General features: G+C 39.1%; 1 pseudogene across 1 annotated transcript in view, besides 1 other annotated feature; it reads left to right on the top strand.

The window, feature by feature from the left end:
- Positions 1–16,113, top strand: part of TPRXL (tetrapeptide repeat homeobox like (pseudogene)) — a 128,678-nt pseudogene that overhangs the window by 78,117 nt on the left and 34,448 nt on the right. The window lies entirely within an intron of this gene.
- Positions 1,575–2,774: an enhancer, noted in NCBI's record as "P300/CBP strongly-dependent group 1 enhancer chr3:14058498-14059697 (GRCh37/hg19 assembly coordinates)". NCBI's record gives its function as "activates an origin of replication core promoter dependent on BRD2, BRD4, P300/CBP, MED14 and CDK7 cofactors, with strong dependence on P300/CBP, by STARR-seq in HCT116 cells {active_cell/tissue: HCT116}" and the evidence as "EXISTENCE:reporter gene assay evidence [ECO:0000049][PMID:35650434]".

Here is a 16,113-nt window from a genome sequence, read left to right on the forward strand (position 1 = left end):
TTAGTATTGAGATGTGAGCTACTATTCCATTCATCATGCTATTCATTGCCTGTATAACTTGGTTTTTTAAATTGTATTTTTGTTTTATAGGTCCTGTGAGATTTATGCTTTAAGGAGGTTCTGTTTTGATGTGTTTCCAGGACTTGTTTCAAGATTGAGAACCTTTTTTTTTATTTTTTATTTTTTATTTTTTTTAGCAGTTCTTATAGTGCTGGCTTTGTAGTGGTGAATTCTCTCAGCATTTGTCTGAAGAAGGCTGTAACTTTCTTTTATGAAGTTTAGTTTCACTGGATACAAAATTCCTGGCTGATAATTGTTTTGTTTGAGGAGGCTGAAGATAGAGCCTGAATTCCATCTATGGATTCTAGGGTTTCTGCTGAGAAATCTGCTGTTAACCTGATAGGTTTTCCTTTAGAGGTTACCTGGTGTTTTTGTCTCACAGCTCTTAAGATTCTTTTCTTCGTCTTGAGTTTAGATAACCTGACAACAACATGCTTAGGTGATGATCTTTTTGTGCTGAATTGCCCAGGTGTTCTTTGAGTTTCTTGTATTTGGATGTCTAGGTCTCTAGCAAGGCCAGGGAAGTTTTCCTTGATTATTCCCCCAAATATGTTTTCCAAACTTTTAGATTTTTCTTCTTAGGAATGCCAATTATTCTTAGGTTTGGTCATTTAACATAATTCCAAACTTCTTGGAGGCTTTGTTCATTTTTTTGTATTATTTTTTCCTTTGTCTTTGTTGGATTGGGTTAATTTGAAAACCTTGTCTTTGAGCTCTGAAGTTCTTTCTTCTGCTTGCTTGATTCTATTGCTGAGACTTTCCAGAACATTTTGCATTTCTCTACGTGCATCCTGTATTTCCTGAAATTGTGATTCTTTTTTATTTATGCTATCTATTTCACTGAAGATTTCTTCTCTCATATCTTGTATCACTTTTTTTTACTTCCTTAAATTGGACTCCACCTTTCTCTGGTGCCTCCTTGATTAGCTTAATAATCCACCTTCTGAATTATTTTTCAGGTAAATCAGGGATTTCTTCTTGGTTTGGATCCATTGCTGGTGAGCTAGTGTGATTTTGGGTGGATGTTAAAGAACCTTGTTTTGTCATATTACCAGAAGTTTTTTTCTCATTCCTTCTCATTTGGGTAGGCTATGTCAGAGGGAAGATCTGGGGCACAGGGCTGCTGTTCAGATTCTTTTGTGCCACAGGGAGTTTCCTTGATGTAGCACTTCCCCCTTTTCCTAGGGATGTGGCTTTCTGAGAGAGTCTGACTGTAGTGAGTGTTATTTCTTTTCTGGACCTAGCTACCCAGCAGGGCTGCCAGGCTCCAGGCTGGTACTGTGGGTTGTCTACAGTGTCCTGTGATGTGAAACATCTTCAGGTCTCTCAGTCGTGGATACCAGCACCTGCTGTGGTGGAGGTTTCAGGGGAGTGGAATGGACTCTGTGAGGGTCCTTGGTTTTGGTTGTTTAATGCACTAGTTTTGTGCTGATTGGCTGCCTGCCAGGAGGTGGCACTTTCAGGAGAACATCAGCTGTGATAGTACCTGGAAGGTTAGGTGGTAGGTGGGGCCCTAGAGTTCCTAACATAATATGCCCTTTGTCTTCAGCTACCAGGCTGGGTAGGGAAGGACCATGAGGTGGTGGCAGGGTAGGCGTGTCTGAGCTCAAACTCTCCTTGGGCGTGGCTTGCTGTGGTTGCTGTAGGGGATGGAGGTGTGGTTCTCAGATCAATGGAGTCATATTCCCAGGAGGAATATGGCTGCCTCTGCTGTGTCATACAAGTTGTCAGGGAAGTTGGGGAAAGCCAGCAGTTAAGGCCTCACCCAGTTCCCGCCCAACCCAAAAGACTAGTCTCAGTCCCACTGTGCCCTCTCCAATAGCACTGAGTTTGTTTCCATGCTATGTGTGAACAGGACTGAGAACTTGCCCCAGGCTACCAGCCTCCCAGCTGAGAAAGCAAGCAGGGCTTTCATGCCTCCCTGCCTGTCGAGTCTGCACACGGGTTTCACGCCCTCCCCTGTGTTCTGGCCAGGAGACTTTGCGTTCGGTTGGAATTGTTACAGAGTTCAGCTGGAGGTTTCCTTCTCCCTGTGGCCTTTTCCCAGTTCCTCTGGCAGCCCTCCTCAAGGACCCCTGTGAGATAAGTCAGAGGTGACTTTCCTGGGGACCCAGAGAACCCACAAGGCTTTTCCCACTGCTTACTGTATTTTGCTCGGCTCTCTAAATTGAATCAATTGCAGGTAAGGTCAAATCCTTCTCCTGTGATCTCTATCTTCGGGTTTCCCAGTTAAGGTGTGTGTTTGGGGTGGATGATCCCCCTTTCCTACTTTCACAGTTTGGGCACTCACGGTATTTGGCTGTCTCCTGGCCCTGCAGGAGCAATCTGCTTCCTTCAGAGGGTCTGTGGATTCTCTCAGCTTTCCCGGTATATTCCTGCAGAAGCTCTGGAGCAAAAGTTCATGATGCGAGTCTCCACATGCTGCTCTGTCCGAGTGGAAGCTGCAATTTAGTCCTGCCTCCTATCTGCCATTTTTACTTCTACTTAATACTTTCTAAACATATAACTGAATACTAGTTTCAGGTATGTTAAAGTGTGTGATTGTGTTTTCTTAATTTTATGATTAAACTTTTGATTATATTTTGTAAGAGAGATTTGATTTTTTAAAATCAACTTGTTTTTTAATTTCTGTTTTATTTTTAGTTTTCTTTATAGTTTGTCTTAATGCTTTATCATAACACTTTTGTTATGATAGCGAATAGTTTGATATTAGTGTTCCAGAATTAGGGGTTTGATTGTATTCCTTGAAATTTGGCTTGGATTTCTTTATTTGTTTCACTTGAGAGTGTTTGGGAGCCTAAAGGTTTTATTAAATGTTCATTATGATGTGTCTTGATGATCTGATTATGATTAATCTTATGTCATTCAATAAACTGTATGTGAGGCCTACTCTGTCTGAGGCCTTGTCCTCTGCCTGGCAGAAGCCCGTGGGTCAGGGCTCACCTCTGGAGGCCACTTCTGAGGTGAGTCCCAGCCCCTCCACTCTGGTCGAATGACCTTGGACAAGACCCTGCACTTCTTTAAAATCTTGCTTCCATCCTCAATGATATGGAGATCCCAGTGGTACTCTGACAGCGTTTGGCTGTTAGGATTCAGGGAGGTAATCCAGGAGGTGCGTACAGTACAAAGCTCAGAGTGGGTGCCCAGTTGTTGGCAGTAATGGTGTTGGCACAGCTGGGACTGCTCTTAGGGCTGTGGATCTAAAAAGTGAAGCAGCAGCTCACTGTGCATTGGGGACAGTCCAGATGCATGGGCAGCAGACACGTAGCAGATGCAGAGGTCACTGGCCCTTGAGAATCATAAAAAGAGGGCTACCAGAACACAGAGAATCACGAAACTTAACCATGATGCAACCCCCTGCATCTGGGAAAGATGACGCAGAAGTGGGGCTGTTTGGGCTGCTTCTTGAAGAGTCAGTAGGAGTTTTCAGTTAGAGGTAATTTTCATACAGTATTCAGCTCTTAAATGTTCAGGGCATGAGGGATGAGCCTGCATACAAACTCAGAATGGAGAAAAGCCACATATACTGAAAAGATCTGATCTCCATGGGGCTTGCAGGTGGAATAGGGTGACGTGGGAAGGAGATTGTTCTATTTTGTTTCTCAATCCAACCAGTGAATTTCTTTCTCATAGAGGAGTTTAGCTTCTTCACTCATCTGTAATTGAGTGCATGACGTATATGTATTTTTTTCCGTTGCCTTTCAAGGTTGTGTTGTTTATTCTTGTTTGTATCTGTCTCTGCTTACATATTTTGGGGAAGGCTTTTTCTTATATCAGGTTAAAATATGATCTTAGTTTTACTTGTTTTACAAGTTTTTCTGGTAAATATTAGTTTCACATATCTATGCAGTGCGTGTTCCAAGTATTTTTTCTTTCTCACTTTTCTAGTGCTAATAGGTATATGGTGAACTCCCGTCGAGGGATGATATAGAGGCTAATTTCAGAAAATAGCGTTTCTAACTTTTACTTACTCCTTGTTGAACTTTTCTATGAAATTTTGTTATCATTTTATCATTCAGGATTCCTATTAGATTTTCTTTACAATGTTCAGGCACACTGGCTCCTTAAATCTGTGCATATCTTTCTTTCTTTAGTTAGTAGTCCTCATTTCCCTGTGGTTTCTTGTAGAGGACGAAGCCATGGGAATTTTTGACATAGTGTGTCAGAGCTTCAGTTTTTGCTGTGTCATGTTTTAGAGCGAACATTGGACTAGAAGTCTGGAGATCTGTTTTCTGGTTTTGGCTGTGCCATAAACGGTAAAAATATACTTCCCAATGGTTGCTTTCATATCAGACAGTTTGAAAGAGCTGTGAGATATCAGTCAAGCCAGTGGGACTTCTCTCGTGCTCTTTTTATTGACCTGGAATGCCAGGGGATTGGAACCCGCCAGGGTTTTCTGAAGCACCTTCTCTGGAGCCCTGATTTCATGGGCTGTTAGTACATGTTCCGTGAAAAGAGATGCTGTGTCGGGTTAATTGGGATATCCTGGAACTTCTTAGGGACTTTAGTTTTTCCCTATAGTTCTTCAAGGGGAATATAGAGTATGCAGGTGTGCTGTGTTTAACCAATTTATTTGACCGGGAAAATTTCTATTTATACAGCAGCCTGTGGGGCTAGAAGGGTTCCTGAGAGCATACTTTGGGAAACAGTAAGATAATTTTTAAGGTTTCTTCCAACTTTCAAGTGTATGGTTCTGTGAATATACTAAAAACCACTTAACATTATACTTTAAAAGAATGAATTTTCTGGTTTGTGAATTATATCTCAGTAAATCTCATTATAAGAATTTTTAATGGTTCTTTAATCTTCAAAACTGCCTGGGATTATTTCTGCTTTTTACAATGTGGGCTTCAATTCCTCATTAAAAACAAACAAAAAACTGTATAGCACCTTGACCATTTCACATTGTTTACAGAGAGTATCATTCAATTCTAGGAAAATTTCAAGGCCACTTTGCTGATTATGGCCTCTGTGTTTGTTTCATACCAGTCTCTCCATATTAGAACTTTTCTATCAGACTTTCTAGGTTTATCTGTTTGTCTTGAACTGCTGTCTTTTGAGTTGTGTGGCTGTGTTTGCAGGCTAGTGTATTCTGTACATCTATAATCTTTGGTTTTCTGGGTTAATTCTTGCATTATCCTTTTTGCTGTTATTTTTAATTCTTTGATAACATCTTTTGTTTAGATTTCTTTAGGTTCAGTGGTACATGTGCAGGTTTGTTATATAGTAAACTCGTATTACAAGGGTTTGTTGTACATATTATTTTGTCACCCAGGTACTAAGCCTAGTACCCAATAGTTATTTTTTTTTTCTGCTTTTCTCCCTCCTCATACCTTCCACCCACAAATAGGCCCAAATGTCTGTTATTCCTTTCTTTCTGTATATGAATTCTCCTTGTTTAGCTCCCGCTTACAAGTGAGAACATGCAGTATTTGGTTTTCTGATTCTGTTAGTTTGCTAAGGATAATGACCTCCAGCGCCAACCATGTTCCCATAAAAGATATGATCTCATTCTTTTTTATTGCTGCATAGTATTCCATGGTGTATATGTACCACATTTTCTTTATCTGTCATTGATGAGCATTTAGGTTGATTCCATGTATTTGCTATTGTGCATAGTGCTGCAATGAACATTCTTGTGCAGGTGTCATTATGGTAGAATGATTTATATTCCTTTGGGCATATACACAGCAATGAGATTGCTGGGTCAAATGATAGTGCTGCTTTTAGCTCTTTGAGGAATTACCACACTGCTTTAAGCAATGGTTGGACTAATTTACACTCCCACCAACAGTGTATAAGTGTTCCCTTTTCTCTGCAACCTTGCCAGCATCTGCTATTTTTTGGACTTTTTAGTAATAGCTATTCTGACTGGTGTGAGGTGGTATCTCATTGTGGTTTTGATTTGCATTTCTCTGATGATCAGTGATATTGAGCTTTTCAGTATCACTGACAAGCTTTATGCTTGTTGGCCACATGTATGTCTTTTGAAAAGTGTCTGTTCATCTCCTTTGCCCACTTCTTTATGGGGTTGTTTTTTCCTTGTAAATTTCAGTTCCTTATATATGCTGGTATTAGACCTTTGCCAGATGCATAGTCTGCAGATATTTTCTCCCATTCTGCAGGTTATCTGTTTACACTTTTGATGGTTTCTTTTGTTGTGCAGAAGTTCTCAAGTTTAATTAGATTCCATTTGTCAATTTTTGCTTTTGTTGCAATTGTTTTTGGCATCTTTGTCATGAAATCTTTGCTCGTTCCTATGTCTAGAATGGTATTGCATAGCTTGTCTTCCAGAGTTTTTATAATTTTGGGTTTTACATTTAAGTCTTTAATCCATCTTGAGTTGTTTTTTGTAGATGGTGTAAAAAGGGGGTCCGGTTTCAGTCTTCTGCATATTGCTAACCAGTTATCCTAGCACCATTTGTTGAACTGGGGCGGTTCTTTCCCTCATTGCTTGTTTTTATCAGCTTTGTCAAAGATCAGATGGTTATAGGTGTGTGGCCTTAAATCTGGCCTCTCTATTCTGTTCCATTGGTCTATGTGTCTGCTTTTGTACCAGTACCATGCTGTTTTGGTTACTGTAGCCATGTAGCATAGTTTGAAGTCAGGTAAGGTGACACCTCCAGCTTTGTTCTTTTTGCTTAGGATTGCCTTGGCTATTTGGGCTCTTTTGTGGTTTCATATGAATTTTAAAATCATTTTTTCTAGCACTGTGAAGAATGTCAATGGTAGTTGGATAGGAAAAGCATTGAATCTGTAAATTGCTTTGGGCAGTATGGCTATTTTAACAATATTGTTTCTTTCTACCCATGAGCATGGAATGTTTTTCCATTTGTTTGTGTCATCTTTGATTTCTTTGAGCACCGTTTTATAATTCTCCTTGCAGAGATCTTTCATCTCCCTGGTTAGCTGTATTCCTACATATTTTTTTTTGTGGCAGTTGTGAATGGGCTTGCATTCCTGAGTTGGCTCTTGGCTTGGCTCTTGTTGGTGTGTAAGAATGCTGATGATTTTTGTACATTGATTTTTGTATCCTGAAACTTTGCCAAAGTTGTTTATCAGCTGAAGGAGCTTATGGGCTGAGACTATGGGGTTTTACAGATATAGAATCATGTTGTCTGCAAACAGGGATAATTTGACTTTCTCTCTTCCTATTTGTGTGCCTTTAATTTTTTTATCTTGCCTTATTGCTCTGGCCAGGACTACCAATACTATGTTGAATAGGAGTAGTGAGAGAGAGACCCTTGTCTTGTGACAGTTTTCAAGGGAAATGCTTCCAGTTTTTCCCCATTCAGTATGATATTGGCTGTGGGTTTGTCATAGATAGCTCTTACTATTTTGAGGTATGTTCTTTAAATACCTCATTTATTGAGTTTTTAACATGAAGGTATATTGAACTATGTCAAAAGCCGTATCTGCATCTATTGAAATAATCATGTGGTTTTTGTCTCTAGTTGTATTTATGTGATGAATCACATTTATTGATTTGCATATGTTGAACCAACCTTGTATTCCAGGATGAAGCCTACTTGATAATGGTGGATTTGCTTTTTGTGCTGCTGGATTCGGTTTGCCAGTATTTTGTTGAGGATTTTTACATTAGTGTTCATCAAGGATGTTGGCCTGAAGCTTTTTCCTTTTTTGTTGTCTTTGACAGGTTTCAGTATTAGGATGATGTGAACCTCATAGAATGAGTTAGGGAGGGGGCCCTCCTCAATTTTTTGGAATAGTTTCAGTAGGAATGGTACTATTTCTTCTTTCTACATCTGATGGAATTGGACTGTGAATCCATCTCGTCCTGTTTTGTGGTTGGTAGGCTATTACTGGTTCAATTTTGGAGCTCATTATTGGTCTGTCCAGGCAATCAGTTTGTTCCTGATTCAGTCTTGGGAGGGTGTATATGTCTAGGAATGTATCCATCTCTTCTAGGTTTTCTGTTTTTTGTGTGTGTGCATAGAGATGTTCATAGTAGTTCCTGATAGTTATTTTTATTTCTATGGAGTCAGTGTTAACATCCTATTTGTCATTTCTAATTGTGTTTATTTGGATCTTATACCTTTATTAGTCTAGCTCTAGTGGCCTGTCTTATTCATTTAAAAAAAAAACTCCTGGATTAATTAATCTCTTGGGTGGTTTTTTATGTCCTGATTTCCTTCAGTTCAACTCTTATTTTGGTTATTTCTTGTCTTCTGCTAACTTTGGGGCTGGTTTTCTCTTGCTTCTCTAATTCTTTCAGTTGTGATATTAGATTGTTAGTTTGAGATCTTCCTAAATTTTTGATGTGGCCACTTAGTGCTATAAATTTCCCTTTTAAAATTTCCTTAGCTGTGTCCCACAGATTCTGGTATGTTGTATCTTTGTTCTCATTAGTTTCAAACATGTTCTTGATTTCTGCCATATTTTCATTATTTACCCAAATATCATTCAGGAGCAAGTTGTTTGATTTCCATGTAACATGGTTTTGAGTGATTTCTTTTAATCTTCTATTTTTATTGTCCTGTGGTCCAAGAGTATATTTGATATGATTTTGGTTCTTTTGCGTATGCTGGGGATTGTTTTATGTTTGATTTCATGGTTGATTTTAGAGTATGTGCCATGTGGCAATGAGAAGAATGTATATTCTGTTTTGGGGTGGAAAGTTGTGTAGAGATCTATCAGATCTATTTGGTTGAATGTTGAGTTCAGGTCCTGAATGTCTTTAGTTTTCTGCCTCACTGATCTAATACTGTCAGTGGAGTGTTGAAGTCTCCCACTATTAATGTGTGGGAGTTTAAGTCTTTTTGTTTGTCTCTAAGAACTTGCTTTAAAACCTGCCTGCTTCTGTGTTGAGTGAGACAGGTCTCAGTTAATTTAGAAAGTTTATTTTGCCAAGGTTGAGGACACATTCCTGTGACACAACCTCAGGAGGTCCTGATGACATGTGCCCAAGCTAGTAGGAGAAGAGCTTGGTTTTGTATATTTTAGGGAGACATGAGACATCAATCAATATGTGTAAGATGAACATTGCTTCAGTCCTGAAAGGTGGGACAACTTGAGGTGAATGTGGGGGTGACTTAAAGTGGGGAGGGGGCTTCCAGGTCATAGGTAGATAAGAGACAAATGATTGCATTATTTTGAGTTTCTGATTAGCCTCTTCAAATAAGGCAATCAGATATGCATTTATCTCAGTGAGCAGAGGGGTGACTTTGAATAGAATGAGAGGCAGTTTTGCCCTAAGCAGTTCCCAGTTTGATTTTTCCCTTTAGCTTAGTAATTTTGGAGCCCCAAGATTTATTTTCCTTTCACATTTCCTCCATTTTCTTTTTTAGAATCTTTTGGAGAAAGCATTTTAGAAGAAAACGAGTCTCTGGTCTCAGGTTTCATCTGATCTCTCATGGCTAGCATGGTTTATTCCCAGATGGGTAGGTCCTGAGTTATTAGGAAAGTTCATTTTTGCAGGTTCTGAAGTCTCATGTCCTATGAAGAGAAAATAGGGGGAGGAAGGGAGAAAAACAGCAACAAACAGAACAACCCTGGAAAATTGATACAGGCCACATTATTCTGAAGTCTGTATATCAGTAGGCAGGTAAGAAAGTGGCTTATGTATGTAAATAGATTGCTGTTATTTTCTTCTGAACTTTAAGTTGTCTAGCTTCAGTTTGTAGGGCTTTACAAAAGCAGAGCTTAGTTTTCAGTGATTCCAAATTAGGAAAAATGGGGGAAAATGAAGGGAAAATAATAAAAACATTATTTTGAAGACTTATAGCTGAGAAAAATTAGAATTTGCTTCAAACCATAGAAAATAATAAAAATTGAGAAACATTAGGCAAGACTAGAATCTAGTCTTGGTATGCTATATTTTTTAAACAATTTTTCTCTCTCTAGTTTCCCATTTTTACTAAAGACAAATCATGATAGGACTTAGTTTTGCTTTATTATACTTGCCCTGATTATTTGTATACAGTGCAGCAAGAAAAATTTTTCTACATAGGCTTTTAAATTGGCCTTGATGGAACTTTGTTCCATAGAAGGAATCCCAGATAAGGCTTTTTTATAGCTCATCCCAGCCATAATTTGTACCATCAAATACTTGTGAGTTGGGTGATCCTCTTCTCTTAAGGTCCCAAGATAAACATAGGGCTACTGGGCCTGTTAGAACATGACATTCTTTACTTACCACAGGTCAGGAACCCTGTACAGGGACTGTATAGACAAGATATGAGGCCAGTTTCCTAAGGGGCTTTTATTGGCTGCATGAGTCAAGTTTGATTCCTTAAAGGAAAGCACGCCATTCCAGTCAAAGCCTTGGTAAAATAACCAGTTTCTCCAATTGTGTCCTGTTAAAAAGGAAAACAGATTCTTATTGCACTTATGCAAATAACTGGATTGCCATAAGCTAAGAATACCCACAAATAGCTTCCAAATTCTGAAGAAATCAGGTAGAGAGAAGAAAATTTGCTCCAAATTTTGTTCATAGGATTATACTAAATTGCTAAAAACTATCAATAGCTTAGAAGAAAAATTTCCTTTACCCTGAAAAAAGGACCACCAACGTTTTAAGCAAAAAGTCAAAAAGGTTACTTCAGATTTCTATTAGTTCAGTCCATGTAGTTAATTCCTATTCTGGTTGATATTTATAAACATTTCAGTTCTCCATGAGTCCTAAAAGTTTTTCTTGTATTCCAGTGTCACAATCTCCAGAGTTATTAGAAACTTGTATTCAAGAGCACCTGTTAGAGTTTTATAGCTAATTATAAAATCACCTTTTAAAGAGGGCCAAAACAAGTCAACAATTGTGTCAAAGACAAAAAGTTTTAGGGCAGCCAGAGTCAAGAACACAATTGACAAGGAAATTTGTTACCTCTTGCACACAATAATTTAACATAATGATTATAATTATTACTGATAATATACATTAAGTCATATCAGAATTATAGGAGTTTTCCATAACTTTGGAACACATACCAATAACATATTTATACAAACACAGCCCAAAGAAGACCAAACACCATTTCATATTTGACAGTGCTTTCTGTATAATTTTTATGCCAAATAAGTCAAATTGTGTCTTTTTTTGGGCTTTAGGGAATCTAGTATCCTAAAGGATTAATTAGATCAGAAAAAGACATAATTTATAATTTGACTTTGGAAAGTTTGTCAAATATCAAAGATTTAAAACACTTGATACCACAGGTTATTGTAAAATAAGTCATTCATTTGACCAATGTGATAATGCAAGGATTTCAAAAAAAGATGAAAACCTTTATTCTTTGAGAGAGGAGACTTAGTTTTTCAAACAATAAGCCCTGATAAAAACAGCATGAAGCCAATTAAATTTGTTTTTAAAAATGTTTAGACAGTCTATAACATTTTAATCTTGGCCTTAAGATAACCTCCATGAGTCTTTTATAAACTTCATAACCTTTACTAAGGAGTCAGTTAATGCTTCAAGAAAACCTTGGTAATCTGACATAGAGACCCATATGCTGGTCTTGCATCAGTGTGCCTTTGGCATTAATGATTAATTTATAGAGAAACTGAACTTATTTTATCTGTCAAAATCAGCCCTTACAATCTCACATGCCCACCTCTTCTGTGATAGTCCCTGGGCCTTGAGGAGTGGAATAGCTTTAATTTCTGACCCTGTGTCTCAGGAATGCAGTTTATTTGATTAGCATCTTTTACCAGAAGATGAGGCTTTAATTGCTGTTAATGTTTGAGATTTAGCAGGACTTGGCGTTCTTTTTAGACCCAGGAGCCAAAGCCCTGTAACTCAATGTCACAGGTACTTTAAAAGCACATACAGAAAGATACACAGATGTAATAATCTTAATTTAAAAATTTTTTTTAGTCTCAGTTTTTTTCCTAAGCAAATCAAAACTCAATAATAATGGCATAGGAATTGTTTCAATAAACTGTAAAATTTGTTAGACCAGTTACCAAAAGGCAAAAGAAAAGACCTTCTGCAGTGAACAGAATATTACATTGGAAGAAAACAGTTCCTTTAGACCTTTAAGAAAGCATTGTTAGCATCAGGCCATAACAAACAGAACTCAAGGAAAAAAAAAACTTATATGAGCTGAAGGAGAGCATTACTATTTTGCACCCTTTAAAAGGGGAGAGAGAACTGAAAATGTTGAGATGCAATAAAAGTTACATTTTGGGTTAAAAAAATTCAAATATCTTATAATTAAGAGCAAATTAATTCCTCAAGAAAATTTTATTGTTCCAACCAATTATTTAGTGTATAAATGTTGTTGTTGTTGTTACATCAAACCCACTTTTTAGAAAGACCATGATAATTTCCCTTTAATTAGTAGACAACTTGATCATATAAAAGTTTTTGTTTTTTAAATCTTCTTATTTGACTTACATGGACTGTTCGTGACATGTTTGGGCTTTCTGGTTTGTCCTGAACATCAGTCTTTCTTAAACAAGCAGTTATTTTATTCTAGGACTAAATCTACCATACAAGATTCTTTCTCATATAAAATATTTCTCTTTAAGCTTTCTTACAAAAAAAAAACCTCTATTTTTATAACTTTCTTTACATCTCTTATTTTCTGGTTCCTTTTACCTTGTTTTATACATAACCTTTAAATAGGCCTTGAATTAGAAAAAAATTATTCATCTTTTAAAAATGACACACTTTTTTTCAGGAAGAATGTGTTCCTAAACATATATTTTTATTGAAAAATACCCAAATAATGAAATATCTATTATTTAATTTAATATAGATTCTAAATTATGATGAGTTTGACTACATGTATTTATCCCATTACATTTGCCTAATTATTTTAATTGTTTACCTAGATTATTTATGAAAACTGCAATAGTCATCATTTAAAGTTATGGAACTGTGTCCGGAATTGGTGGGTTCTTGGTCTCACTGACTTCAAGAATGAAGCCGCGGACCCTTGCGGTGAGTGTTACAGCTCTTAAGGTGGCGTGTCTGGAGTTTGTTCCTTCTGATGTTCGAATGTGTTTGGAGTTTCTTCCTTCTGGTGGGTTCGTGGTCTCGCTGGCTTAGGAGTGAAGCTGCAGACCTTCACGGTGAGTGTTACAGCTCTTAAGGCGGCGCATCTGGAGTTGTTCGTTCCTCCCGGTGGGCTCATGGTCTCGCTGGCTTCAGGAGTGAAGCTGCAGACCTTCGCAGTGAGTGTTACAGCTCATAAAAGCAGTGTGGACCCAGAGTGAGCAGTAGCAAGATTTATTGCAAAGAGCGAAAGAACAAAGCTTCCACAGTGGGGAAGGGGACCTGAGCGGGTTGCCACTGCTGGCTCAGGCAGCCTGATTTTATTCTCTTATCTGGCCCCACCCACATCCTGCTGATTGGTAGAGCTGAGTGGTCTGTTTTGACAGGGTGCTGATTGGTGCGTTTACAATCCCTGAGCTAGACACAAAGGTTCTCCACATCCCCACCAGATTAGCTAGATACAGAGTGTCGACACAAAGGTTCTCCAAGGCCCCACCAGAGTATCTAGATATAGAGTGTCGACTGGTGTATTTACAATCCCTGGGCTAGACATAAAGGTTCTCCAAGGCCCCACCAGAGTAGCTAGATACAGAGTGTCGATTGGTGCATTCACAAACCCTGAGCTAGACATAAAGGTTCTCCAAGGCCCCACCAGAGTAGCTAGATACAGAGTGTCGATTGGTGCATTCACAAACCCTGAGCTAGACATAAATGTTCTCCAAGGCCCCTCCAGAGTAGCTAGATACAGAGTGTCGATTGGTGCATTTACAGTCCCTGAGCTAGACATAAAGGTTCTCCAAGGCCCCACCACAGTAGCTAGATACAGAGTGTCGATTGATGCCCTCACAAACCGTGAGCTAGACACAGGGTGCTGATTGGTGTGTTTACAAACCTTGAGCTAGATACAGAGTGCCAATTGGTGTATTTACAATCCCTGAGCTAGACATAAAGGTTCTCCAAGGCCCCACCAGACTCAGGAGCCCAGCTGGCTTCACCTAGTGGATCCTGCACCGGGGCTGCAGGTGGAGCTGCCTGCCAGTCCCGCACCATGCGCCTGCACTTCTCAGCCCTTGGGTGTTTGATGGGACTGGGCACCGTGGAGCAGGCAATGGCGCTTGTCAAGGAGGCTCGGGCCGCACAGGAGCCCACGGAGGGGTGGGAGACTCAGGCATGGCGGGCTGCAGGTCCTGAGCCCTGCCCCACGGGAAGGCAGCTAAGGCCCAGCAAGAAATCGAGTGCAGCGCCGGTGGGCTGGCACTGCTGGGGGACCCAGTACACCCTCCACAGCCGCTGGCCCGGGTGCTAAGCCCCTCATTGCCCAGGGCTGTCAGGGCCGGCCAGCTGCTCCAAGTGCAGGAGCCGCCAAGCCCATGCCTACCCAGAACTCCAGCTGGCCTGCAAGCGCCACACGCAGCCCTGGTTCCCACTCACACCTCTCCCTCCACACCTCCCTGCAAGCTGAGGGAGCAGGCTCCGGCCTTGGCCAGCCCAGAAAGGGGCTCCCACAGTGCAGCTGTGGGCTGAAGGGCTCAAGTGCCACCAAAGTGGGAGCCTAGGCAGAGGAGGCGCCGAGAGCGAGCGAGGGCTGTGAGGACTGCCAGCACGCTGTCACCTCTCAGAACTACTGTTGCAAAATTATGACTAAGACAGTGAAAAAATCTGACCTAACTGACTCCATCTTCTAACCTCCAATCTGTCTTTGTTCATTCCAGGGCATAGGTCAGACTTGCTTTTGGAGGAACTCAGTTTATAGTTCAGCCTTGAAACAAAGATGGTAACAGTCCTTTCCCAAAACAAACCTTACAGCCAGTAGACTAGACCACCTAAAGCCACAAGATTAGAAGTTATGGTAATCTTACTAAATTTAAGATGTAGCTATTTTTATTAAACCAATATTAATGTCTTATGCATTAAAAATTACATAAGCAAAGATTATTCTGTCTTGGGCTGGGTTTATGGTTTTGTAACACCTATGCCAAATATTGGCACCTTATAGTATTTGACAGGGATAAGTATGAAATTGCTTGATAAATAAATGCAAACAAAAATGTATACTGGCAATTCTTAAGACATTTCTAATTTTACTTTACAAATAACTTTAAAGCTGGCTTATTTATTACAGATTTCACTCAAGTTACATAAACTGGAAAAAGCATTTGACTAGTCTTCTCTTTTCCTGATAAAATATTTGATTCAAGCATTTTTATTTTCTTATGCCAATTAATTAGAGCTCTTTTATGTATTTTCAATAGTGAAACATTGTATACACAACCGTAAGTACATAGACATAGGCATGCCAACAGAACTACATCTTATAAAGACCCTTTTTTTCCCATCTTAGACTTTCAAATTCTTGATGACTTATTTCACAACCCTAGGCAGTTGTCAGCTAAATAGCCTTAAATTTGCATATTAAAGGAAACAACTCAGGTGAAAATCAAATAGCAAAATTTACATTATAAGGTAAGAGAGAAAAAGTCTGGTATGCTAGAGGGAAATTAAAATGGATTTAATTGCCAATTAAACATAAAATGATAGAAATTATAAAGGCTATTTAAATACACACACACACACACCCAAGATCCTATAGCTTTTATTTCAGAACTTTAGCCATGAGATAAATACAAATTCACCACCTTGCAAAAAGAACCTGTTGGATTCAAACAGTGGTTTTTATCTTAATAGAAAAATAACAGCAGATTTAAAGCAGGCAGAGAAGAAAGAAAAAGAGAACTTAAGAACTTTATAGTTTGCAGTTCGACCTTAAGGCTCTTTTTCCTTAATATAAATGTGTGCAAAGACCATTTTACTTCCATTTTACATAAACTCTAGCAAGTAGATGTGCCATAAAACCTGCAGAGTCCTTGAAAGGGTGTCATTCTCCTTATTCTTAGATTATTTGTTTTCCACATTTTTTTCTTAAAAGGAGGTACTGAGCTTTGGCCTAGTGTTTTTGTGTGGTGGATCAATGTGTTCTGCTTGTGGGCAGGACTCCATAGTGTGTCCACAGTGAGTCATTTCCACCATCTTATGTGTCTCATGTTCTCTCTTCAGAGGCCTATGACCTCTGAGACGGCTCAAACACTGGGTGATCAGAC

The sequence above is a fragment of the Homo sapiens genome, chromosome 3 (assembly GCF_000001405.40).
Source record: "Homo sapiens chromosome 3, GRCh38.p14 Primary Assembly".
NCBI lineage: Eukaryota > Metazoa > Chordata > Mammalia > Primates > Hominidae > Homo > Homo sapiens.